The sequence below is a fragment of the Homo sapiens genome, chromosome 11 (assembly GCF_000001405.40).
Source record: "Homo sapiens chromosome 11, GRCh38.p14 Primary Assembly".
NCBI lineage: Eukaryota > Metazoa > Chordata > Mammalia > Primates > Hominidae > Homo > Homo sapiens.
In genome coordinates this window covers 134294592-134318872 of record NC_000011.10, presented here as the reverse complement: position 1 = coordinate 134318872, position 24281 = coordinate 134294592, and the positions used below count along the sequence as shown (strand labels likewise).

The window sequence follows — 24281 nt, the reverse complement described above, 5'->3', positions numbered from 1 at the left end:
GAAGAAAAGAAAGGTTGACAGTGGGAAAGGTGAAGCCTATTTAGTACAGGTTGAAAAAGACACTGCAACTCACATTTTGATCTGAAAGTTTATGAGATCTCAAGGCAGAGACTGGAGTGACATACCTCATTGTCTTCTGGATGAAGCCAAACTCCAGGAAGGTACAGTGTTTTCTGAGGCCCAATATTCCAATATCGCCCAAGGTTACGTCCATTGATGAACACAAATCCATAATTCCAGTTCTGAAAGGAATGGTGGCTTGAGATTTGGAAATTGGTTCACATTAGCAAGGTAAAACCTAAGGCACTTGGAGAGTGAGAGCAAGATTGAGATACTTTATGGCACTCAAATGAAGGTGAGTTTAGAGTGGGATATGTTATAGAACTTCTACCTTGCTGTCTAGGAATGAAAGAGAAAAGCATAAATAGAACCAACCCTTTAATGGTAAGGCTGCTATTGTTCCTGTTATGTGATATATAATGTTATATATTTTAAAAAGCAGATCTTCTACTTCCAGAAATAAATATCAGGTAATAGTGATGAACACCACTGCTGACAGTGGCTATTAATATAAAAGCTGCACATTTTTAAAAATCTGCTTGCAATATAATGAAGAATTACAGGATCAAGATCTAGAAGAAGAAAATGGAGAGACAAGGAGACATCTAGGCAGTTTTTCCACTAGAGGCACCTGCTTATTCTGGGATATAACAAAACAGTCTAGCACATAAAATTGGAGTCTCTGAAATGCTTCAAATTAAAGGGCAAAGGTTGCTGGTCTTGATTTCAAATAAAGTAGTTATATGCTACATATAAGAGAAGCATCAAAAACATAAGGCATTGGAAAAATAAAAGAAAAACAATGGATAATGATATGTAAACCCTAACCAAAAGGAAGTTGCTATAGCTCTGTTAATATTCAGAAAAATAATACTTTAAGGCAAGAAGCATTATTAGAGATAAAGAGGGACATTTCATGATGGTAAAATTCTTAATTTACCAAAAATGTATATACAACATACATAAGAAAGATAAAAGCAGAGATTCAAAACATATCAGCGAAATTGACAGAAGAGAAATAAATAAATTTACAACCATAGCGGGAAATTTTTATACAACCTTTCAATAGTCAATAGGCAAAGCAAATAACAATCAATAAAGACATAAAACATTTAAAAGAAGATGATTAACAAAATTGAACTAATTGACATAATAGAACATTGATCTAACATCTACAGTATACACATATTCTTTCAAGTATACCTCAGAATATTTACAAGCTTGATCCTGTATTAAACTAGTCTTCACATAAACTTCTCAGACTATAATGCATTTAAGAAAGAAACTGATAAAAAAGATAACCCTAAAATATCCAAATTCTTGGAAATTAAGAAAAGCACTTCTAAATAAACCATAAATCTAACAAGTAATGACAAAGGAAGTTGGAAAATATTTGAATTCTTTGATGATGATGATAAAATTGATAGAAACTTGTAGGGTATAAGACTATCAGCAGATTTTTCAGCAGAAACCTTGCAGGCTAGCGTGGAATGGACCGATATATTTAAAATGCTAAAAGAAAAATCAACTGGCAACCAAGAATACTACATCCAGCAAAACTGTCTTTCAAAAATGAATAAGAGATAAAGACTTCCAGACAAAAACTGAGGGAGTTCATCGCCACTAGACCTGCTTTACAAGAAGTGCTAAAGGAAGTCCTTCAACTTGAAAAGAAAGGAACTTAAACAGTACCAAGAATCCACAAAAAGTATAAACTGATTGGTAAAGATCATCAAGTTTCCCCCCGGCAACAACATGGCCCCCAGAGTGGCCTGCAGCTTTCTGGACACTGCCTCCAGGACATCCAGTGCCTCAGGTTGAATACTACCTGCCAAATGGCGCCTTCGGTCTACACTATTTGCCTTAATATGAGAAGAAAGCACAGCCCTACTATAGCAAAGTTCTGGACCCAGGGAAGCTTCTCAATGTCCCCCAAAACATGGAAGTTGTCATTATGGGCAAGTGCTTGTGAAGCATGTGACCTTCAACAATCCACACAGCCGTATGAAGGAAAAGTAAAATTCCAACTTAAAACTTAGAGGTGAAAGAGCAAGAGTAGGTATTTTATAATTCCTAGCAGACTCAAGAAGATTGGCCCTAACCTGCAGGATAATTTGCAGACCTTCTCTTTTGTTGGGCTTAATTTGCCTGCCAGCTCCTTACAAAATCATCTTTAAGACATTCTAAAATGCACATACCGAAGTCTACTTGACACCTTCAGAGAAGCACCTACAGGTGAAGTGCTCACCTTTAGTATCAGCTGTTTGTTATGAAACCTTTATTATTTTTTAGATAGAATTTATAGTTATGATTAAACTGTTAGGCTAACATGGCAACCTTAAAGCAGCAATTATCCAACTAATAAGACACTAAAATGATTCATCTCTTCCTATATAGACATCGCTTGTCTTACAACTTATTTTTTCTGTATTTCAATATGAACCATTACCCATATAATAGAAAGTATAATATAAAAATAATGCACTGATATGAAATATGGCTTATAATTATGTACATTCTGAATTCTTGCTTTGAAGAATGTAATTCTTCAGTCATGAAAATAAATACAATAAATTTATTCTTATTCTACGTGTAAAAAAAAAAAAGGTATGGGAGTCATTTCCAATATAGGCAAATCCATAAAGATAATAAAAAGATTGCTGTTGCCAGGCGGTGGGAGAAGGGGAAAATGGAGAAGTAATTGCCCAATGTTTATAGGATAATGAAAATGTGCTGGAACTGGAGATAGAGGCTGCATAGCATTGTGAAGGCATGAAAGACTACTTAATCGTTCACTTTAACAGAACTAATTTTATGTTATGTAATTTTACCTCAAAAAATCTTTTTAAAACTTAGAGGATGCAACCAAATCCACGCGTAAATGATGATTAATAACCTAAATTCATATAATTAAAAAGAACAAAGACTGAAAGTCCATTATCTAAGTATCTATGTCAAGACATTATAAAAATAAAGCAAATTAATCCTAAACTAAGAAATTGAATAAACAAAATAATAAAGATAATGACAGAATCAGAAAATAAATACTTAACACAGTAAGAGTCATAGCCAAACACTGTACTTTGAACAATTAATAAAATTGATAGTGTTCTGGTGAGAATTATCAAGAAAAAAGAGTGCATCGATATCCTGTAACAAATGACAAGGGGAACGTTACTACCAATGATCTAGACATCAAAAACGAATATTTTAAAGGCAATATATTTGAAAATTTAGATGAAATGGGAAAATTTCCAGAAAAATATATTTTCTCAAAGCTAACTTTAAAAGAAACAAAATCTGAATAGTACTTTAATCTTTCAATAATTGAATCCACACTCACACACTTTTTCAAAAAGAAAATGCCAGCTCTAGAAGGCTTCACTAATGAACTCCATTAAATGTTTAAGAAGTGATACTTGTCTTACACAAATTCGCCTTCCTAAATCCTTTATGAGATCCCTAAACATTGGCACCAAAACCTGACAAAGAGATCTCAGTTATGAACATAAACACAAACGAAGTCTTAATTATTTACCATAGACAAGCCCTAGATATAATCCAAATGTTCAGAAAAAGTAAAATGGTTAAATAAATTATTATAATGTATTTACTAAATGAACCCAATACAACAGTGAAAATGAACAAATCACTGCAACATCGATAAATGGCTGAACCTCACAATGTTGAACAAAAGAAAACATATTTAAAAAAGATGCCCTGTATGATTCCATTTACATAAAGTCAAAATAGGAGACACTGGCCTAGGGTGTTAGAAGTCAAGGCAGCAGTTGGGAGGGGTGCCAACAATATTTTTAACTTTCAGTGATAATTATATGGTGTTCACTTTGTGATCATTTGTTGATCTGTACATTCACATTTTGTACATTTATGTTATCTATGTGTATTTATACAGAAAAAGATATTCTAAGTAAAAACTAACTTACCAACTCACCCCACACAGAAAAAAAAGGCAAGCTTCAGAATACATAGTACAATTCTATTAGTGTAAAAATAATTGTGTACGTGTGTGTTCAGGCAAAGTTATATATAAAAATGTACCACTGTTGGCAGTGTTGAGTTCTGAGAAGCAGAGACTAATTGGAATGGGGGTGGGTTCAAAGGCGAACTTCATGCTTTGCTCTCTCCCTCTTGTTATTGTTTGAATTTTTAATTGTGCTTTGATGTGTTATTCTCTGAACAGTGATAAATTAGGAAGACTGATCAATGTTGGAAGGCTTGGTTGGAGATGAGGAAGAAGAGGAAAAGAAGAAAGGGAAGTATTCCTCCAGGAACGCTGGCTTTGCTTCAGGACTCTTTAAAAATAAAATTGGTGTTTGGAACACCAGGGCAGCAGAGGGCATCACCTACCAGCAGGCTCAGGAAGGTGTCCTTGGGAGAAGGGCCAGCCTTCAAGGTCCCACAGTAGAAGGCCGGGCCCTGGTGGCTGTCTGGGACAGGCTTCCAGGTGGCAGAGCGGAGCCTGGAAGAAAGGCCAAGCCATGGGGGAGAAGAAGTCCCCTTCCCAACCCAGTTCCCAGTACCCACCCCAGGTGGCGTGGGCCGAGCCTAAGGTTCTGTTTCAATGAGATAGAGTAGACTAGATGCGTTAAGATCAGAATCAGGACACTTGTTCCAGGGCCCTAGTTCTGACGCCGAAGTACCCAACAGCCTGGAGTACATCACTCAGTCTCTATCTTGGACTCTTTATCTGCAATGAGGAATCTGAAATCTCTGAGTTCCCCGATCACTGAAGTGTGCACTGGGGGCCAGCTGGAGCATACCTCTCAAAGAAGCTCATTTTCATCTCCAGGGAATAGATGGTAAAGCCCTCCAGGGAAGAGTTATTGATGCTGACAGATCCAGTTATTCCTGCAGATGCAGATGGGAGGCAGGAAAGAGAATATGAGCCAGGACTGGATATTCTCTAGCATCTGGGACAAAGCAATGCAGACTTGTACATGCCTTAGGACAGGGGCACAGCCAGGAGGGCAAACATTTGTCTGACCTGCTGTGACTGAAGGGTTCTAGCTGTATGTTTCCACACTACCAAGAAAGTTCCCCCACTTAGTACTGGAACTTTTCCTGAAATTCCCAAAAGGAGACTGGCCCTGCTTGAGGACAAGCCAGCACCGAACACACTGGCCCCACCCTCTGGCCCTGGAGATCAGAGAAGGCAAGACAAGGGCGAGGGGCCGATTTTGCATCTCTGCTCCCAGGGCCTGGGTAGCCCACTGCTGAGCGGCTGGTTTCCCCACCCTCTCCCGCCCCCGACTCCAGTGCATAGCCCGGGTCTTCGGTTCTGAGCAACTGAGGAGAAGCCACAGCCAGAGCCCACCTTTCTGCTCATTCTGTATTTGCCATGAAAAATTGACTCGTCCTTGATTCTCCACCAGGATCCTCAGGTATCGGCAGTCCTGCTGGGACAGGCCAGGTCATGGAGACCACGCAGCCATGGAGGGCGTCTACCCGACAACCCGTTTTTTCACTGAGTCCCACATGGAGAGACACATGGGAGAACAGGAGGCTCCAGGGCCCAGCAGTCTTCCCTTCACCTAAGGACTGCCTTGTGTTCCTATAGTCAATCTTCCCTTTCCCCTCTGCTGATCCTACTAGGAAAGGCAGAGAGACTCAGCTGTACCTTTAACCAACTCCAAAAGGCACAGAAACCCAACCAGGGGCTGAGGACAGGCTCAGGACTTGGTGAGGAAATCCCCTCCCCTCCAGCACACATGCGGTAGCTCCTGAGGGGCCAGGGCCTGGGAGGCACTTTGGCTTCCAGCCCTGCACACTTCCTGCCGCCGCCCCAGGTGAGCAGCAGCACCAGCAGCAGGGGTGGAGAAGGGAGGCTGACTGTCTCAGGACCAGGCTCCGTCTGCATTTGAGGGGGGTCGAGGGCATCACCTGGACTCTCAAATTACATACCCTGAGTTCAGGAATGTGCAGGTCCTTATTATTCTCATTCAGAATCCCTATCATTGTCTCATCCAAAAACACCTGCAAAAGAAGAGCCGGCGTCAGACTGCTAGGCCCACCCGAAGAAAGGGAGAAGAGAGGCCGCGGTTTCGGGAGAAGGAGGTCAGTATGAAGGCAGGGACCAGCTGTGGTGCTCACTGATGGCATGAAGCTGCCTGGAGGCCCCAAGAGACTCTCAGTGGTGATAAAGCAGAAAGCAAGTCTATTTGGCCTGACTTTTTAGTCCCAATGCCTCCCATATAGTAGGTCACCAAACAGCAACGTGCATCCTTCAGTCAACTACCCTGCCCGACAGCATGGGGAGGTGATGCACTTTGCTTCCCACACAGACAGCCTGCTGGCCCTACCTGTGCCACGTCATGAGCGTGGGCACGGAGGCGGCCTCCGGAGCAGATGGACTTCTCATACAGGACAAGCCCGTAGGACTGGCCGCTCCCATTGTTTATGGGAAGGTTCTCCATGTTGACGGGCTGACGCGACCTGACTGGCTATGAGGAGAAATGGCAAGAGCAGAAGTCCAAGGGCTGAGCAGTCAGGATCCTCCTTCCTAAGACCCTGTCATTTGGTCCTGCCTAATGGTCCCCAAGGGTTCTTCAAATGGGAAATGATGAAACAGATGCCATGTGACACTGCTCTGTGCTTACGTCTCCACTGCCCAGGAAGGAAACTCAGGGAAATGCAGGGCATGGTGATGAGGGAGCAATCGTTATAATCCTAAGAACTGATTAACAGAGGAAATGGATGGGGCGCAGGGGCTCACGCCTGTAATCCCAGCACTTTGGGAGGCCGCAGCAGGTGCATCACTTGAGGCCAGGAGTTTGAGAGCAGCCTGGGCAACATAGTGAGACCCACATCTACAAAAAACTTAAAAATGTAGCTGGGCGTGGTGGTGCCCTCCTGTAATCCCAGCTACTCAAGAGGCTGAGGCCGGAGGATTGCTTCAGCCCAGGAGTTCAAGGCTGCAGTGAGCCATGATTGTGCCACCGCATTCCAGCCACAGCCACCAAGCAAGACCCTGTCTCAAGAAAAAAAAAGAGTAAATAAATTGTATTCTAAAATAGTTGAAGTCTAGCAATGAATGAGGCACCAAGCAAATGTTTATTTCATTAAATTAAATTTAGTTACATTAAATAAATGTAGTTTCTTTAGTGTACCAGTCACTACCTTTTCTCTAAAATAGTGATAGCAGAGGTAAAACCAATGTGAATCCAAGGGCTACAGTTTCAGTTCCAAACAGCTTTCACCTTTCTTCAAAATAGGACAGGAAGGCTGATGGAAAAGGGGGAGCAGTGACCCAGGAAGTTCAGGCCCAGCTGCTGGTGAAGCACGGGCAGAAGCTAGTCTCCCGATTCCAGCTCAGCAGCTTTTCCTACGTGGATTCCGTAAGGACCACACAGTCCAAACAAGAGCATCTCCAGACAGGTTCATCTAAGCGGGAACCCGGGATCCTCCGACGTCCTGCTGCCCCTCCCCTGCACACTGACTCCAAGGTCAAACCCCTTCACAGTCCACCCGGAAGGAGCTGGTGGCTCTTGTCCCACAGTTCTAAATTTGAATGAAATGCAGAGGATTTGTTTTCCCACTTCCTAATAAAAAGTTTCCTGAAGGAATCCCTCCCCCATCCCTCCAATGGCCACTCCGCCTCCTGTGGCCAGGCAGCACGCACCTCATTTAAGTAGGATAGGGCGTCCCACAGCGGGAGGTACAGCGACGGTCTCACGGGGGGATACACAGCCTTGGGAGGAAGTTTGGGTACTCGGGGCAGGGGAGTTGCTGCAATGGAGATGGGGCACAGGGCAAAAAGTGCCTGAGATGACCACTGCCTTCTCTAAGCCCCCCATGCCTATCCAGCATGGCTTTTCCTTTCATATTGGGGGTTACTATGTCATCCATGGTATAAGAGCTTTACAAAGAGTAACTCAATCTTCGCAGTCATCACAGGAGACCAAGGTTACTATCTTTATGCTTCAGTGAAGAAACTGAGGCTTATAAAATGCTTAGAAACCCTGATTTTAAAAAATCACACAGATTTTAACCCCAGGGTTCGAAGTTAAGGTTGCCCTTGTTCTCAGGAGCTTGGTGTAACTGCTGCCCACAAGGGAGACCCACGCCTTCCTCACTTTTCCACAGAACAGAGACTCCACATGAGGAGGGCTGGCCCGTAAGTTAAATGGGTGCTGAGTACCTGAGACAGATTGAAAGAGTTTTTGAAGCTTCAGATATTTTTCTGTGTAATCTCCAGCCTCCGTGAGCACTGCATCATAGTCTGCAAGACACCAGGGCCAGTCACCAGCCATGCAGTCTCTGCAGGAGGCCCTGTTTCAGCACCGCTGGCAGGAGATGGCCAGGGCCACCGTGAGTGAGACAAAAGGAAGACACCTTCCATCCCACGTGGGTGTGTGATGCCAGTCTAAGGACATTCCCCACAACTCTTCCTGGGCACCTTCCACTGGCTTCCAGTGTCAAGCCATGACACTGGGCTTGCCCCCACTTCTTCACTTTCTAATGCAAACTTGTTCAACCCACAGCTCATGGGCTACAGGCGGCCCAGGATGGCTTTGAATGCAGCCCAACACAAATTCATAAACTTTCTTAAAACATTTTGTGTTTTTTTTTTAAGCTCATCAGCTATCATTAGTGTTAGTGTATTTCATGTGTGGCCCAAGACAATTCTTCTTCTTCCAGTGTGGCCCAGGGAAGCCAAAAGAGTGGACACCCCTTCAACGGGTACTCTTTTCTTTGCTCAGTCTGTATCGCCCGGCCGTGCAGGTCTGTGCCTTTACAGCAGTCACCGTTCCTACCCTGCCTCTCTTCAGAGGTTCAAGCCAACAGGGCAGTATACCAGATGTGTGAAGCGGAGCTCTAAGTCCCGGAAAGCCCTGTCTACTGCAATGACAGCCTGTTGGGGCATTATGAACATACAGAAGGAAGGAAAGTAGATAGGAAAATCTTCAGTACTCAGCATAGATTATAGGTCAAGAACCCAGTGGTGCCAGAACAGGCTTCCGGAGCCTCCTCTGTAAAGCCCCAGCACCGCCCATGCTGGAGAGGCTACTACACCAGCGACACTTGCCATAGCTGGTGACAATGCCCGAGTGCTTCCCGAAATATGTGGCCCCGTTCATGAAACCAAAGTTGGTTCCACCATGGAACATATATACATTGAAGGAGATCTCATATTTGATGAATTCAGACACAGCATGTTCAACCTCTGCAAAGGGGAACATGAGAACACAGAGAATGTTAGAAATTAAGAGGAGACAGAAGCCTCTGGCAAACTCTTATCCTTTCCAACCCCACTCCACAATCAGTTACAGTAACTCCTCGCTTCACGGCTATATACATTCTTGGGAATGGAGACTTTAAGTAAAATGATATAAAAAAAAAAACAATTTTTCTCTCAATTTTATAATGAAACAATGTTGAAGAAAACAGTATTATATGAGGATATGCTGTACATCATTTTGTTTAGTTTCCAAGAACCTATTGATGACGTTAAAGACCTACTGCAAATGTTTTATCATTCAACCTCTACAAAGATTCCAACAAAAAAATAGGCAGAATTGGCCAGAACTACTCTAGGACACCGAATCTTGTCAATCCCAAGAGATTTTTGAACACTTTTTTTCCAAAATATTGACATAATTTGACTCTAAACTACATCTATTAAATAATAACCTAAGAACCCTCATGTCACTTAAATATCTAATTTTCCTTAAGTTTTTTGAAATCATACATATAATTAGTACACCCTCATTACTACCTTCCAGTGAAATGTTTCTGGGAACACTGACTTGGAAACACCGCCATAGTCCACAAGTGGTTGCTCTTAATCTTTAGCCACAAAACTTCCATTTTGTACTGTGTTTAAACAGCTGCAATCATCTCTCCACTGGCCACAGTGGGAAGAAGAAGGTTAAAAGTCATTTAGAGTGGGAGTCAATTCTGGCTGTGCTCGTTACTATTTGTATGACCTGGGGCAACCTATTTTCTTTCTCAACGCCACTGCTTCCTGATCTGTTAAATGAATGTATTAATTCCAGCTATATCATGGGACTGATGAGAAAATTCATTGATGAGGTAATATATGTGGAAAAAAGGCACAGTGCCTGCCATACAAGAGACCAGAAAAGTTTTATTTGGTAGTGGTGGTGGTGGTGTTGGTGGTGGTGGTGGTGGTGATGATGGTGGTGATGGTGTTGATGGTGATGGTGGTGATAGTGGTGGTGGTGGTGGAGGTGATGGTGATGATGGTGATGGTGATGGTGGTGGTGGTGGTGATGGTGATGGTGATGGTGGTGGTAGTGGTGGTGGACATGGTGGTGGTGGTGGTGGTATTTGGTGGTGATGGTGGTGGTGGTATTTGGTGGTGGTGGTGGTGGTGGTGGTGATGGTGGTGGTGGTGGTGATGGTGATGATGGTGGTGGTGGTGATGGTGATGGTGGTGATGGTGGTGATGGTGGTGGTGGTGGTGGTGGTAGTGGTGATGGTGATGATGGTGATGGTGATGGTGATGGTGGTGGTAGTGGTGGTGGTGGTGGTGGTGGTGGTATTTGGTGGTGGTGGTGGTGGTGGTGGTGGTGATGGTGGTGATGGTGATGGTGGTGGTGGTGATGGTGATGGTGGTGGTGGTAGTGGTGATGGTGATGATGGTGATGGTGGTGGTGCTGGTGGTGGTGTTGGTGATGATGGTGATTGTGGTGGTGATGTGATGATGGTGGTGGTATTGTTGCTGGCATTATTGTTGGTGGTAGTGATGGTATTATTGTTGGTGTTATTGGTGGTAATAGTGGCATTTTTCTTTTGACTTTTTTTCTATTTTTCAACCTAAAACAGGCTTTTCTCAGTTCCCAAGTATTTTTCAATGTTTTTCTATACTTCAGATACAAGTGGCCTTGTTTTCATAACAGCTCTTTCGAAATATCTTCTGTAGACACAAATGCCTATTAAGTAAACGACTGCCAGGCATTGCTCTAAGTGGCAGCACTTGATCCTCACACCAGCCTCATGAGGTTGGTTTTATGATAATCCTCACGTTTGGATGAGGTCACTGAGAATTAAAATGAAGGAAGCCTGCATGAAGCTAGCGCATGGCTAGCGCTGCAGAGCTGAGATTAAAACCTGATCTCTTTGGCTCCAAGATCCATGCTCTTGGCTATCGCTGCATGTTGTCCCCTGACTATTATTAGTGCTTAGTTGACAATGCCATAGAGAGGGCCTATGCACTGCTAGAGATGATTAATGTTCCACCTTCCTCAGAGATGTCACATTTTCAGAGAAGCTTCGGTGACCACCTAACCTTACCTGCGCAGGTCTTTCTTCTGTCTTTTCTATCACTGCACCCTGTTTGTTTGCTTCAAAGTATCCACCAAACATGGAACTACATATTGATTGTTTTACTCTGTAATGATCTGTGGACCTCACTAACTTATACTCTGTTGGGGGTGGGAACCATGTAATTTCTATCCACCAGAGCATCCTCAGGGCCTGGCTGAGTGCTTGTATGTGAAAAGTTGCATGAATATCTACGGCTGATCAAGTGAATCAATTAGCAGAGAACTGTATGAATGAGTTCTCATGGGACCTGGGGCCATCTCTTCCTGGAGTCAAACACTGCAAAACACTCACCCTTTGCATCTTTAACATGGTGCTTATCTCCCCATCTGTCGAACCAGCCGACCCAGTATTCCATAATCAGAAGGGGCTTATCTCTCTAAAAACAAACCAAAGCAAATACTAAGTCTGGCAAAAAACAAAAAAGAAAAATCAGAAAACCTGAATGCAATAGATGGGAACTAAGGAACTCATGCGTTTCTCCTTTTTCCCAATTCAGAGCTTTCCCGTTTTGATCCAGTATTTCTTCCCCCACGGCCCTTGGCCGTCATTCACAGCTCTGGTTCCTCCACTCCTAAACGTCCATGGTCTCCAGCTTCATGTGCCTCCCTACTATACCCGGAAAGCACCATCAGCAATTTCAACCCTGTCTCACCCAAGGCTGGTGTTGAAAGAATGGGTTTTGGATACACGAGGACCTGACCGCAATTCCTTATGTAGAAACTCAGATGCCACAGGCTTTCAGCCTGACACCTGCATTCCACTTGTAGCCTAGCATTTTCAGTGCTGCTGAATAACGTAGATTCTGTTTTTAAAAGGTGACACCTCCTCTACAGTAGGCCTGGCTGTTGCTGTGCCATGGATATTAAAACGGAAGATCATAGCTGAGCTTCTTCTGGGTGATATGTCAGCCACTCAGCATGCATTTTCAGCTGCACTCCTGGAGTCCTCTGGCATGCTGCTGCTCTAAGATTGTCTCACTCTAAGCCCAAAGATCTGTCAACCTAGGACTTTTGTTAGCTGCTCCCTGGATTTGGATTATGATGTTTTCCAGATCCTATGTTCTCTTCTACTTTGGTTTCATTTCTCATTTCCTGCATCCTTCAAACACTTCCATAGAAAAGATGAGTGGAAAATAAATATTCTGAGTCCTTAAATGTCTGGCTATCAACACAATTAATATTTAAAATTATTAATTGGGTATAAAATTCTAAGTTAAAATTCATTTAGCCTCAAATTTTAAAGGCATATGCCATTGCTTCCTATTATCCAATATTTTATAATCCTATGCCATTCTAATTGTTTTTGCTTGGCATGTAAACCTGTGGTTTTTCTCTCTGTAGGATGCTAATTTCACAATTTAGGTCTTTTTCATCACTTACTGTGCTTACTATTTGAGGTACACTTTTCATCTGGACATATAGATACTTCAGTTAAAGGAAATTCTTATGTTATTTGCAATTTCCTTTCCTCCATGCTCTTTGTCCACTCTTTTTGCAACCAGTATTAATAAGATGTTGGGTCTCCTACAATACTCCTATAAGACGTTTATCTTGTCTCTTTTCTGTTTTGTGGGCTTATACTAATAGTAATATTAGGGAATTTGATCATCTTTACCTTCCAACTTCTATATTTAATTTTTAATTTCAAATATTAGATTTTTAATTTCAAAGAGTTGTTTTTGGTTCCCTGATTGTCCCTCTTACTTAACAGCCCACTCTTGTTCAGGTATAATCTTATTCATATCTCTATGCATATTAATAAGCCTTTTTACTACTCTATTTTGTTGCCTGAATTAACTCCATGTTCCCTGATTTCCATTTTCTTCTTTATTTGTAATTTAATTATTTTCTCTTTGTGAAATTTTATTAAATAAATACAGATCCTTAATTTTCCATTTGTATTCAAGAGGAAAGACTGACTTCTGGTGTTAAAATTGTACTGTGGGCTTGACATTCTCCTCCTGGAAATCTTCCAAATCAAAATAAGGACTGAGAAATGGAAACACAAACAACATCCTCTGTGAAGCTAAGAGTCATCTGAAACTTCAAAATATAAATGAGGAGGAAGAAGCGCAAAAGCATTGAAGGTCTATCAGGGGTTCAAAAAACGTAGAGAGAGAATGCTCTTTGTCGAAGATTTTAGGAAAGACTAACAGCACAAATTTCTCCTAAGTAAGAAGCATACTCTATAGTGCAATACCAACCATTTATTATCAGTTACAGAATAGGGTGCACAAGCTGGTGAAGGGAATGCACTTTACATAATTCAGTGCATCAGAAGCTTAGAAGGACAAAATTATGGAAGAATCACAGATAAGAACTATAAGGAGGAAGAAGTTGCTGCTTGTGAGGCATCTGAGAGCAGTCCTGCATCTATACTGGCTCCCTGGGAGGAGAGAAAGCAAAAAGGAAGATGGGTAAAGATAAGAATTCATCCCTGCCTACAGCATTGTGCCACTAAGATACATTGTTATTATGCCACTAAGATACATTGTTAGCGCAGTCGCATGCGGGCTCTCACAGCAACTTCTCTTGAGTCCTTGAGCCAATAAGAACTCATCTCCATCAAAGATGAGTAATAATAAAAAAGAAACAACAATAGAATCTACATTTAAAATTCTAATAAAAAAGAGTTTTTTTCTTTTTCAACAGGGAAAGAAATTAGAGGAGGAACACCAAAAACTTTCTATAGCATAGGTCAAAATTGTGACCCAAAAATATTGTTATAAAGTTAAAAACCCCAATGAAACAATCACCTCTATAAATGGAGAGCATAAAAAGAGAACTAAAAGTACTCAAGGAAGACATGATAAGGAAATATAAGGAGCTAAAATATTACCTAACAAAGATTTTTTTTAAGGCAGATAAAATAGAAAATATTAAGTCCAAACTGGAAGCAGCTAAAAGGAAAATAAACATTGTGAGGGACATGAAAAGAAAAGGAGTGAAAAGTGAGCACAGTTAAAATGAACAGAGAGTAGAAAGAATGAGAAGGAAATGGATGCAGGAGATGTGAAAGTAAGACAGAAGAAGTTTGCATTACACATAACTTGTGTCCCTAAAGAGAATAAACCAAATAAAAAAATTTTTTAACATATTTAAAGATATGATCAAAGACTCACAATTTCCAACAATCATGATCTATGTTATTTGGACGAACCCACTCATTGAGGATTTTTACAAAGTTAAATCAAATACAGTATCACCATAGATACAGCTGAAAAGAGAATTCGTGTATATGAAAATAAATCAGAAGAAAGTATCCAAATAGCAGCATAAGTAGACAAAAATGTACAAACTAAAGAGATACCCAGCACATTTGAGAAGGTTTAATGAATTTAGCTGGAATTCCAGGATGAGAGGAGTGAGACAACACAGGAGAAGCAACATTTGAAGAACTACTACCTGGGAACACACACATTCTAGAAGCCCGACAAACTGGAATAATAAATAAAAAGACACTCAGAAAGAGACATAGTTCAACTGCAGAAAACAAAAAAAGAAACAAAAAATTCTTAGTAATAAAGGAGAAAAGAAAGCCTGACAGAAGCCCTCCCCATCACAGCAGTGAAGTCAGCAGACTGTGTGCTGAAAGAAAACTGCCACATTAGAATTCAGAGCCGGGAAGAGACTGAAGCCTGGAAACAGAGAGTCTGCCATAAACAGACATCACTAAAGCATGTACTTCAAGCAGAAGAAAACTGATCCTGAGTAGAATCTCCAAGATATGAAAAATAATAAAAAGCAAAAAGATAAATATTGGGCTAAAACTGAAGGAATATTGATTGTATAAAACAAATACATGATATTTTTAGAGTTTTAAAAAGATAGAAATCAAATACAAGAAAAATCCAGAAGATGCATCTGATGGAGTGGCCAGAGTCAGTGCTTGCCCTGAGGCACTTGTACAATCCAGGCGGAGAGCAGAACTTTAGACTGCAGGGGACTCAGTACTTACATTAAAATTTCAAGGATGACTTTTAAAAGATAAAATCAGACTCTGTAACTCCAGAATGACATAGGAAAAAACAGAAATTGATTTTTTTAAATAGTCGAATCCATAAAAAGAAGCCAAGATTGTAAAGAAAAAGAAAAGAAACACTTAAAAGCAGGCACATAATCAGATGGCAGGTTCAACTTCAGTCTAACAAGAATTACATGAAATATGAATGACTGACAGCTCCAAATAAAAGTTTAATTGTGTCAGACTAAAATAAAAATATTCAACTAATTTCTGATCTCTAATAAGAGAGATGTCTAAAGAAAAATGTAGAATTACAGCAAGATTAAAACCCAAATGAGGATATAGAAAATGATACACATTCAAATATTAATCAGAGAGGTCTGGCATGGCAATATCAATGACAGACAAAAGTGACCTTAAGACAAAAAGCAATACTGCATACAAACAGGATGACTCCCTAGTGATAAAATTTCATGTCCATGAAGATAAAACAAGTCCACATTTACATAGCCTCAAAATACATCAAGCAAACTTTGATAAACTTGCTAAAGGACAGGTAAAATACTAAGGTCTACTGGTAGAAATATGCAAATCTGCAATTATGATAGAAATATTAACACATCTCTTTCAGTGACCAATACAACCAGCCAAAAAAATCAATTGGAAATAGAAAACTAGAATAACACAATAAATAAAATTGACATAGAACTTAAACAGAATACTGCACCCAGTACCGCAAAATACATTCATTACAAACACACAGGGCATTTACCAAAACTGACCATTGATAGGACATAAACACAAACAAAATTAAACATAAAAAATAAAGAATCACACCTAAAAATTGAAAACAAATGAATCTAACTCTACACCAAGTTGGTAAAACAATTACATAAAACAAAGAAAGTATTCCATGTAACCTTAGTACATAGAATTTTCACTACACATTCTCTGTGTGATATACCTTAAAGATAAAAGAAAAACCACAGAAATCTTTAAGATCATTAGATTTTTCTTATTTTCAGTAATATTATCAGTGTTATTTCAAACCTATTATGAATATATTATAGAATTAAGTGAATAACAAAATTGTGAATGTTGTTATCAACTATGATGTCCAAAGTCAGAGAAAAAATAAAAATATAAATCAGAAAAGTTAAATATAACCTCTATAATTCTAAATTTGTATTTTTTAAGAAATCAATGAAACCACAGTTTTCTCCTCGTTTAAAACATGCCAATATCCTGGCCCTACACTCTGAAAATGCTTAGAAGTAACAGCAATTTGATAGTAAGCACAGCTTGTATTCTACAGAAGCAACAGGGTTCTTAGGAGAAATCGCTGTTTCTGGGCTGAGGATTGGAAATGTATCAGGTGAGTCTGGGACATTGTATTTGGCTGGAAACCAAGTAAACTATGAAAGACTGATGGGGTCACGTCAGAGGAGAGAGGAGCCAGGTGGAAGGTGCTGCCAGCAGGCCAGCGAGAAGCCACTTTAAGCTTCAACAACGTAATGATTAAAATTGATAAGAAGGCATTAAACATATTAAAAAGTCATGAATTAATAATCAAAGAAAACAATTTACAAAAGTTTGAAAAGGTACAGAGTATGTTTTCTGACCAGCGAAATAAAGGAAAAAAATAGAAAAACTCCGTATGTCTGAAAATTTAAAAATTAACTTCTAAACATACTCATAGGCCAAAGAAACAATCATATTGAATACTCACACTAGTCTGAATTACAGTATATCAAATATACCAAATATAAAACTCATGAACTAATGAGAAATCCATTCCTTAAATGTTCATAATAAAACATACAGATAAAATGTGAAGGCTAATTACCCACCTCAAGAAATTAGAACAGCAAAATAAACCAAAAATAGTAAAATAAATAAAGGAAATATAAACCTAAGGGTAGAAGCAGTGAAATTGAAATTAATTTGCAATAGAGACAACTTAAAAAAAAATCGGTTCTTTGAAAAGAACCAACATGCTTCTGATGAGAATGTTAAGACAGAGTAAAAACGAATCAATAATTAAGATCAGAAATGAAAAGGAAAGACCAGCACAAATGATACGGCCATTAAAAACAAGAAGATAGTGTGCATAATTATATGCCATTATATTTTAGTTTGAGTGAAATGGACATATTCCTAGAAAAACTGTAACAACTACATTTACTCAGAAGGAAACAGACTTCTGAGTACAGCTCAGAGATATAGCAGTGGGAAAAACATAAATCCCATCCTCACAGCGAGGACAAAACTTGAAAAACTGTAAATTCATGGCTTCTTGGGTCCATCAGAGAACCTAGGTCACAGAGCAACCAAATACCTAAAATCCATGGAAAACCTGATGCCTGCAGGAAGAAGCTGGACCCAAGCCACTTGCTTACCTGGGGCTAGATCCTCTAATATAACACAAATAGATCATATTAAAGAAGTGCTGAAGACAGTGTGGGCCAGCGTGAGAGTCTGAAGTCAAGGGAGCCGAGACGGATGGCGGCTGACACCCTGATGCTGGCTTTAACTCCCCAAGTCTACCAGCTGTTCTGAGGGGAGATTCGGGAGAATCCCGGGCAAGTCTCTGTTGCAGGCTGAATTGCGTCCCCCAGCCAAATTCACACGAAGGCCTAACCCTCAGTACTGCAGAATGTGACTGTACTTGGAGACAGAGCCTTTAAAGAGGTAATTAGGTAAAAGTGAGGCTGTTAGTGTGGGTCTTAATCCCATGTCACCGGGGTCCTCATAAGAAGAGGAAATTTTGACACACCAGGGTCTCGTGTTCACGGCAGAAAGACCATGCGAGGGCACGTTAAGAAGGTGACCATCTGCAAGATAAGGAGAGGCCTCAGAGGAGAACAGCCTGTAGGCGCCTTGATTAAAATGTGGTCAATAGGGGCCGGGCGCGGTGGCTCACGCCTGTAATCCCAGCACTTTGGGAGGCTGAGGCAGGCGGATCATGAGGTCAGGAGATAGAGACCATCCTGGCTAACACGGTGAAACCCCGTCTCTACTAAAAATACAAAAAAAATTAGCCTGGCGTGGTGGAGGGCGCCTGTAGTCCCAGCTACTCGGGAGGCTGAGGCAGGAGAATGGTGTGAACCCAGGAGGTGGAGCTTGCAGTGAGCCGAGTTCACACCACTGCACTCTAGCCTGGGCGACAGAGCAAGACTATGTCTCAAAAAAAAAAAAAAAAAAATGTGGTCAATAGGATGGGCCCTAATCCAATATGTCTGGTGTCCTTATAAGAAGAGGAGATTAGGACACAGACACACACAGAGAAGAGATCATGTGAGGGCACAGGGAGGAGAAGACAGCCGTCCAATAAGCCAGGGAGAGAGGCCTCAGAAGAAACCTACCCTGCCAGCACCTTGATTTCAGACATGTAGTCTCCAGAATGTGGGAAAATAAACATCTGCTGTTTAAGCCACACAGTCTATGGTCCTTTGCTATGGCAACCCTAACAAAGTAACACAGCTTCCTTTCTGGTGCTGGCTGAGGGGAGAGAGCCACCGCCACTGCCAGACCTTCTCCCAGCCCATCTTCTCTAGGGAACAAAAGCCCCAATCAGCTGAGAAACAGCACAGAAGCTGTCACTTAAGGACATCTTAACTGGATAAAATCCATTGCATCTGGGAAAGGGGCAGGGGATGCACTATCCTTGGGAAAGGAGGAACACATGCTAGGATCAGATCTGCCGCTAGAAGAAGAGCTGGGTAGGAGCACCTGCAAAGGCCACACCCCTCAGACCCACAGACAGCATCTGCTGGCAATAAGGCATAATCAGAACATCAGGGGAAGCCTTTCTCCCTCACCAGCAGGCTAACCAAGCTGGAGAAAAAGTAACACATACTATAGCTGAGAGATCCGCAAGCAACAGATTCTCTGTGGGACTCAATGCAAAGGCGAGACTCAGAGGGGAATGCAGACACAGAGAAAACAACCTCTGCCAAACCAGCACTTGCCCTTGACACAAGGTACCACCAGAAACATTTGAAGCCCATGATGCACAAAGGATAACACAGCAACAACAAACCCCACAACCAGCCTAACTCCAGACGAGGGGAACACAAAATCCCACATGGCCTAGCAGAATGAAAGGCAGGCTGATCTCCAAGACAGTATCTATGTCCTATGCATGATGCGCAGTTTTCAATAAAAAATTATGAGACATACAAAAAGGCAAGAAAAGAACACACTTGGAAGAGATAAAGCAATCATCAGAAACAGATAAGACACAGATGTTGTAACTATCTCACAAGGAATTCAAAATAACTATGATTAATATACTTAAGACTATCATGGAAAAGGAAGACAGCATGCAAGATCAGATAGATAATTTTGGCTGAAAGATGAAAACTAAGAAAGAAGCAAATGGAAATACTAGAAATCAAAAACATAGCAAGAGAAACGAAAAATTTCTTCAATAGGCTCATCGCTAAACTCAACAGGCATGAGGAATGAATCAACGAACTTAAAGATAAGTCAGTAGAAATTAAGCAAACTGAAAAGTAAAGAGAAAAAAAGACAGTGGGAAAGAAAACAGCATCCAAGAGTTGTGAGACCACACTAAGTGGTCTAATGTACGTGCGATTTGAATTGCAGAAGGTGAGAGAGCAGAGAAAATATCTAATAAGTGACAGCTCAGAATTCTACAAAATTAATGACCTAATCTTGCATTCCTGGGATGAATCTCACTAGGATGTAATTGTATTAGTCCATTTTCACGCTGCAGATAAAGACATACCTGAGACTGGGAAGAAAAAGAGGTTTAATTGGACTTACAGTTCCACATAGCTGGGGAGGCCTCAGAATCATGGCAGAAGGGGAAAGGCACTTATCACATGCCAGCAGCAAGAGAAAATGAAAAAGAAGTAAAAGTGGAAACCCCTGATAAACCCATCAGATCTCGTGAGACTTATTCACTATCATGAGAATAGCACGGGAAAGACTGGCCCTTATGATTCAATTACTTCCCACCGGGTCTGTCCCACAACACATGGGAATTCTAGGAGACACAATTCAAGTTGAGATTTGGGTGGAGACACAGCCAAACCATATCAGTAATGTATTATCATTTTACATATTGCTGGATTCAATTTGCTCATCCTTTGTTGAGAATTTTTGCTTCCATGTTCATAAGGGAAATTGGTCTTTGGTTTTCTTTGCTTTAGTTGTTTTTATTTGGTTTTGGAATTAGGACAATGCTGACCTCATAAAATGAGTTTAGAAGTATTCTCTCCTTTTCCATTTTCTGGAACATATCGTGTAGAATTATTATTATTTCTTACTTAATGTTTGGTAAATTTCACCAAACCACAGATCCAAGAATCTCCTGGAACACCAAGCAGGATAAATTTTAAGAAACAAACCACATCTAGGCATATTACACTCAAACTTCTGAAAACTAAAGACAAACAGAAAATTCTAAAGGTAGCCAGAGGATAAAAGACAAAAAAAAAAGATAAGAATTAATACTGACTTCTCATCAGAAACCATGGAAGTAGAAACAATAATGAAGAGACATCTTTAGAGTGGGGAATTAAGAAGACACTATTGTACAATCCTAGTACTACCTACACTTCAGTATGATTAGTCGTGTCAGGTTAATTTTTAAATTATATATATATATTTTTTTCTCTCTTTCTTTCTTTTTTTTTTTTTTTTTTTTGAGACAGAGTCTCCCTCTGTCACCCAGGCTGGAGTGCAATGGCACGACCTTGGCTCACTGCTACCTCCACCTCCTGGGTTCAAGCGATTCTCCTGCCTCAGCCTCCCAAGTAACTGGGATTACAGGCACCCACCACCATGCCCAGCTAATTTTTGTATTTTAATAGAGATGGGGTGTCACCATGTTGGTCAGGCTGGTCTCAAACTCCTGACCTCAAATGATCCGCCCACCTCGGCCTCCCAAAGTGCTGGGATTACAGGCGTGAGCCACCGCGCCCGGCCTATATTTTAAATTCTAAGTCAACAGCTACAGTTTTTTAAACTGACATAAGTAATAAGTCTACAGAACAGATAAAATGGAATCAAAAAATTATTAATTAGCTCCAGAAAAGGGAGAAAAAAAGAACAAGAAAGAAACAAAGTACAAAAAAGAAAAGAATTTGCAAAAAGGTAAATTTCAGTCAAACCATATCAATAACTACTTTAAATGTGAATGATGTAGCCACATTATCTTAAAATACAAAAACTGTCAAATTGAATTTTTTAAAGCAATATGTAAATATATGATATCTACAAGAAATCCATTTTAAATACAGATGTTAAGGTATATAAAAAGCAAAAGGATAAAGATATGCCATGCAGGTATTAATTAAAAGAAAGCTACAGTTGCTATATTTATATCAAAATAGAGTTCAGAACAAGGGAGAGGGATATTACGTAATGATACAGCGGCCAAGCTTCCAACAAAATATCATAATCCTAAATGTGAATGCACCTCAAAACAGGCAAAAACTAATAGGCGTAAAAGAAAAATAAACAATCTATGATTATATTTAGAGGTGTCAACATTCCTCTCACAAAAATTGATGGAATGAGTAGGCAGAAAATCAGTAAGGATAGTGATTACTTGGCCAATATCATCAATTAGCTTGACCTGATGGGAATTTATAAATAGATGTAAACTACACATTATTTTCTTTTTTTGTTTGTTTGTTTTTATTATTATTATTATTATTATTATTATACTTTAAGTTTTAGGGTACATGTGCACAATGTGCAGGTTAGTTACATATGTATACATGTGCCATGCTGGTGCGCTGCACCCATTAACTTGTCATTTACATTAGGTATATCTCCCAGTGCTATCCCTCCCCCCTCCCCCCACCCCACAACAGTCCCCAGAGTGTGATGTTCCCCTTCCTATGTCCATGTGTTCTCATTGTTCAGTTCCCACCTATGAGTGAGAATATGCGGTGTTTGGTTTTTTGTTCTTGAGATAGTTTACTGAGAATGATGATTTCCAATTTCATCCATGTCCCTACAAAGGACATGAACTCATCATTTTTTATGGCTGCATAGTATTCCATGGTGTATATGTGCCACATTTTCTTAATCCAGTCTATCATTGTTGGACATTTGGGTTGGTTCCAAGTCTTTGCTATTGTGAATAATGCTGCAATAAACATACGTGTGCATGTGTCTTTATAGCAGCATGATTTATAGTCCTTTGGGTATATACCCAGTAATGGGATGGCTGGGTCAAATGGTATTTCTAGTTCTAGATCCCTGAGGAATCGCCACACTGACTTCCACAATGGTTGAACTAGTTTACAGTCCCACCAACAGTGTAAAAGTGTTCCTATTTCTCCACATCCTCTCCAGCACCTGTTGTTTCCTGACTTTTTAATGACTGCCATTCTAACTGGTGTGAGATGGTATCTCATTGTGGTTTTGATTTGCATTTCTCTGATGGCCAGTGATGGTGAGCATTTTTTCATGACTACACATTATTTTCAAACATACATGGAACATTCACCAAGAATGACCATATTATGATCCATGAAACAAACCTTAACAAATGTAAAAGAACAGAAATTATACAAGTATGTTCTTGGGCCTTAACAGTATTAAACTAGAAATCAATCACAGAATACTAGCTGGAAAATCCCCTAAGATTCAAAAATGAAACAGCACACTCCCAACTGAGGCATGGAATAAAGAAAGTCTCAAGGGAAATTTAAAAAAATGTTTTGAAGTTTTGAACTCAATGAAAACACAGCCCATCAAAATTGGCGAGATGCAGCAAAACTAGTACATACAGAGAAATTTACAGCATAAATACTTATATTAGAAAAGAAAAAAAGTTCCAACTCAGTAAGCTAAATTTCCACCAGAAAGACCAAGAGAAAGAACAAATGCAATCTGAAGGCAGCAGAAGGGAGAAAATGCTAAAAGTTCAAAGCGGAAACCAAGGAAGTTGAAGACACAAAAATAACAGGGAATCAAAATCAAGCCGAAAGCTGATTCTCTGCAAAGATCAAAAAAAATTATAAACTTCTAGCCACACTAACCAAAATAAATACACAAAATTAGCAATATTAGGACTGAAAGAGGAGCCATCGCTATGACAACAAACACATTAAGAGGATAACAAGGGATTATCACAAACAACTCTATGTCCACGAATTCAAAAATTTAGATGGAATAGAATAAAATGAGTAGAATAAATCCTTGAAAGATGTAAATTACTACAACTCACCCAAGAAGAAATAACTTAAATTTTCCTGTGTTGTTAGAGAAATTGAACTGCAAGTTAAAATTCTTCTAAAAAGGAAAACTTCAGGTCCAGATAGTTTCAGTGATGAAAGTTACCAAACATTAAGAAATGCTAACAATTCTACACTATCTGTTCCAGAAAATAGAAAAGGAGAGCATCCTTCCAAATTCATTTTATGAGGCCAGCGTTATCCTAATTTTAAAACCAAATACCGTTTAAGAAAAGAAAACCAAAGACCAATGCCCTTCATAAACATGGAAGCAAAAATTCTCAACAAAAATATGAATAAACTGAATCTGGCAAAATAGAAAATGATAATCTCACAATCAGATGAGATTCATTCCAGGAATGCAAGACTGGTTCAACATGCAAAAACCACAGTCACTGTATTAACACACTAAAGCAGGACGGCCTTTGGGTTTGACTATGACTTTACGTACGTGACAGTCAAGCACAATCCAGTCAGCTATTGAAGGAAATGAAGCGCTGAGTCCTGCTACAACATGCATAAATGGACCTCGAAGAAACACCACGCTGTGTGAAAGAAGCCAGATGCAAAAGACTAAATACTGCATGAGCGCGCTTATGTGAAACGTCTAGAAAAGGTAAATTTATAGAACTGGAAAGAAGACTGGTGGCTGCCCAGGGCTGGAGACGGGATTAACTGTGATAAGCATTAAAAGCAATGAACATTTTGGATTCTGGTGATGGT

General features: G+C 40.2%; 1 protein-coding gene and 1 pseudogene across 15 annotated transcripts in view, besides 1 other annotated feature; one reads left to right on the top strand and one right to left on the bottom strand.

The window, feature by feature from the left end:
- Window positions 1-24281, bottom strand: part of GLB1L3 (galactosidase beta 1 like 3) — a 49538-nt gene that overhangs the window by 6432 nt on the left and 18825 nt on the right. For 7 of the 15 annotated variants that reach the window (XM_011542566.3, XM_011542568.3, NM_001080407.3 and 4 more), the window contains 10 exons: window positions 11665-11749; window positions 9110-9247; window positions 8222-8302; window positions 7703-7809; window positions 6384-6524; window positions 5986-6057; window positions 5399-5477; window positions 4845-4932; window positions 4432-4543; window positions 126-242 (listed from right to left, as the gene is read on the bottom strand). In XM_011542566.3, the coding sequence (XP_011540868.1) occupies window positions 126-242; window positions 4432-4543; window positions 4845-4932; window positions 5399-5477; window positions 5986-6057; window positions 6384-6524; window positions 7703-7809; window positions 8222-8302; window positions 9110-9247; window positions 11665-11749 (1020 nt within the window). The other 8 variants (XM_011542569.3, XM_011542570.3, XM_017017156.3 and 5 more) reach the window with 4 other exon arrangements.
- LOC100421417 (ATPase H+/K+ transporting subunit beta pseudogene) lies at window positions 1601-2102 on the top strand (annotated as a pseudogene).
- Window positions 7587-7772: a silencer, noted in NCBI's record as "fragment chr11:134180995-134181180 (GRCh37/hg19 assembly coordinates)". NCBI's record gives its function as "represses an EF-1alpha promoter that drives an FKBP-Casp9 reporter gene in an ReSE screen in K562 erythroleukemia cells {active_cell/tissue: K562}" and the evidence as "EXISTENCE:reporter gene assay evidence [ECO:0000049][PMID:32094911]".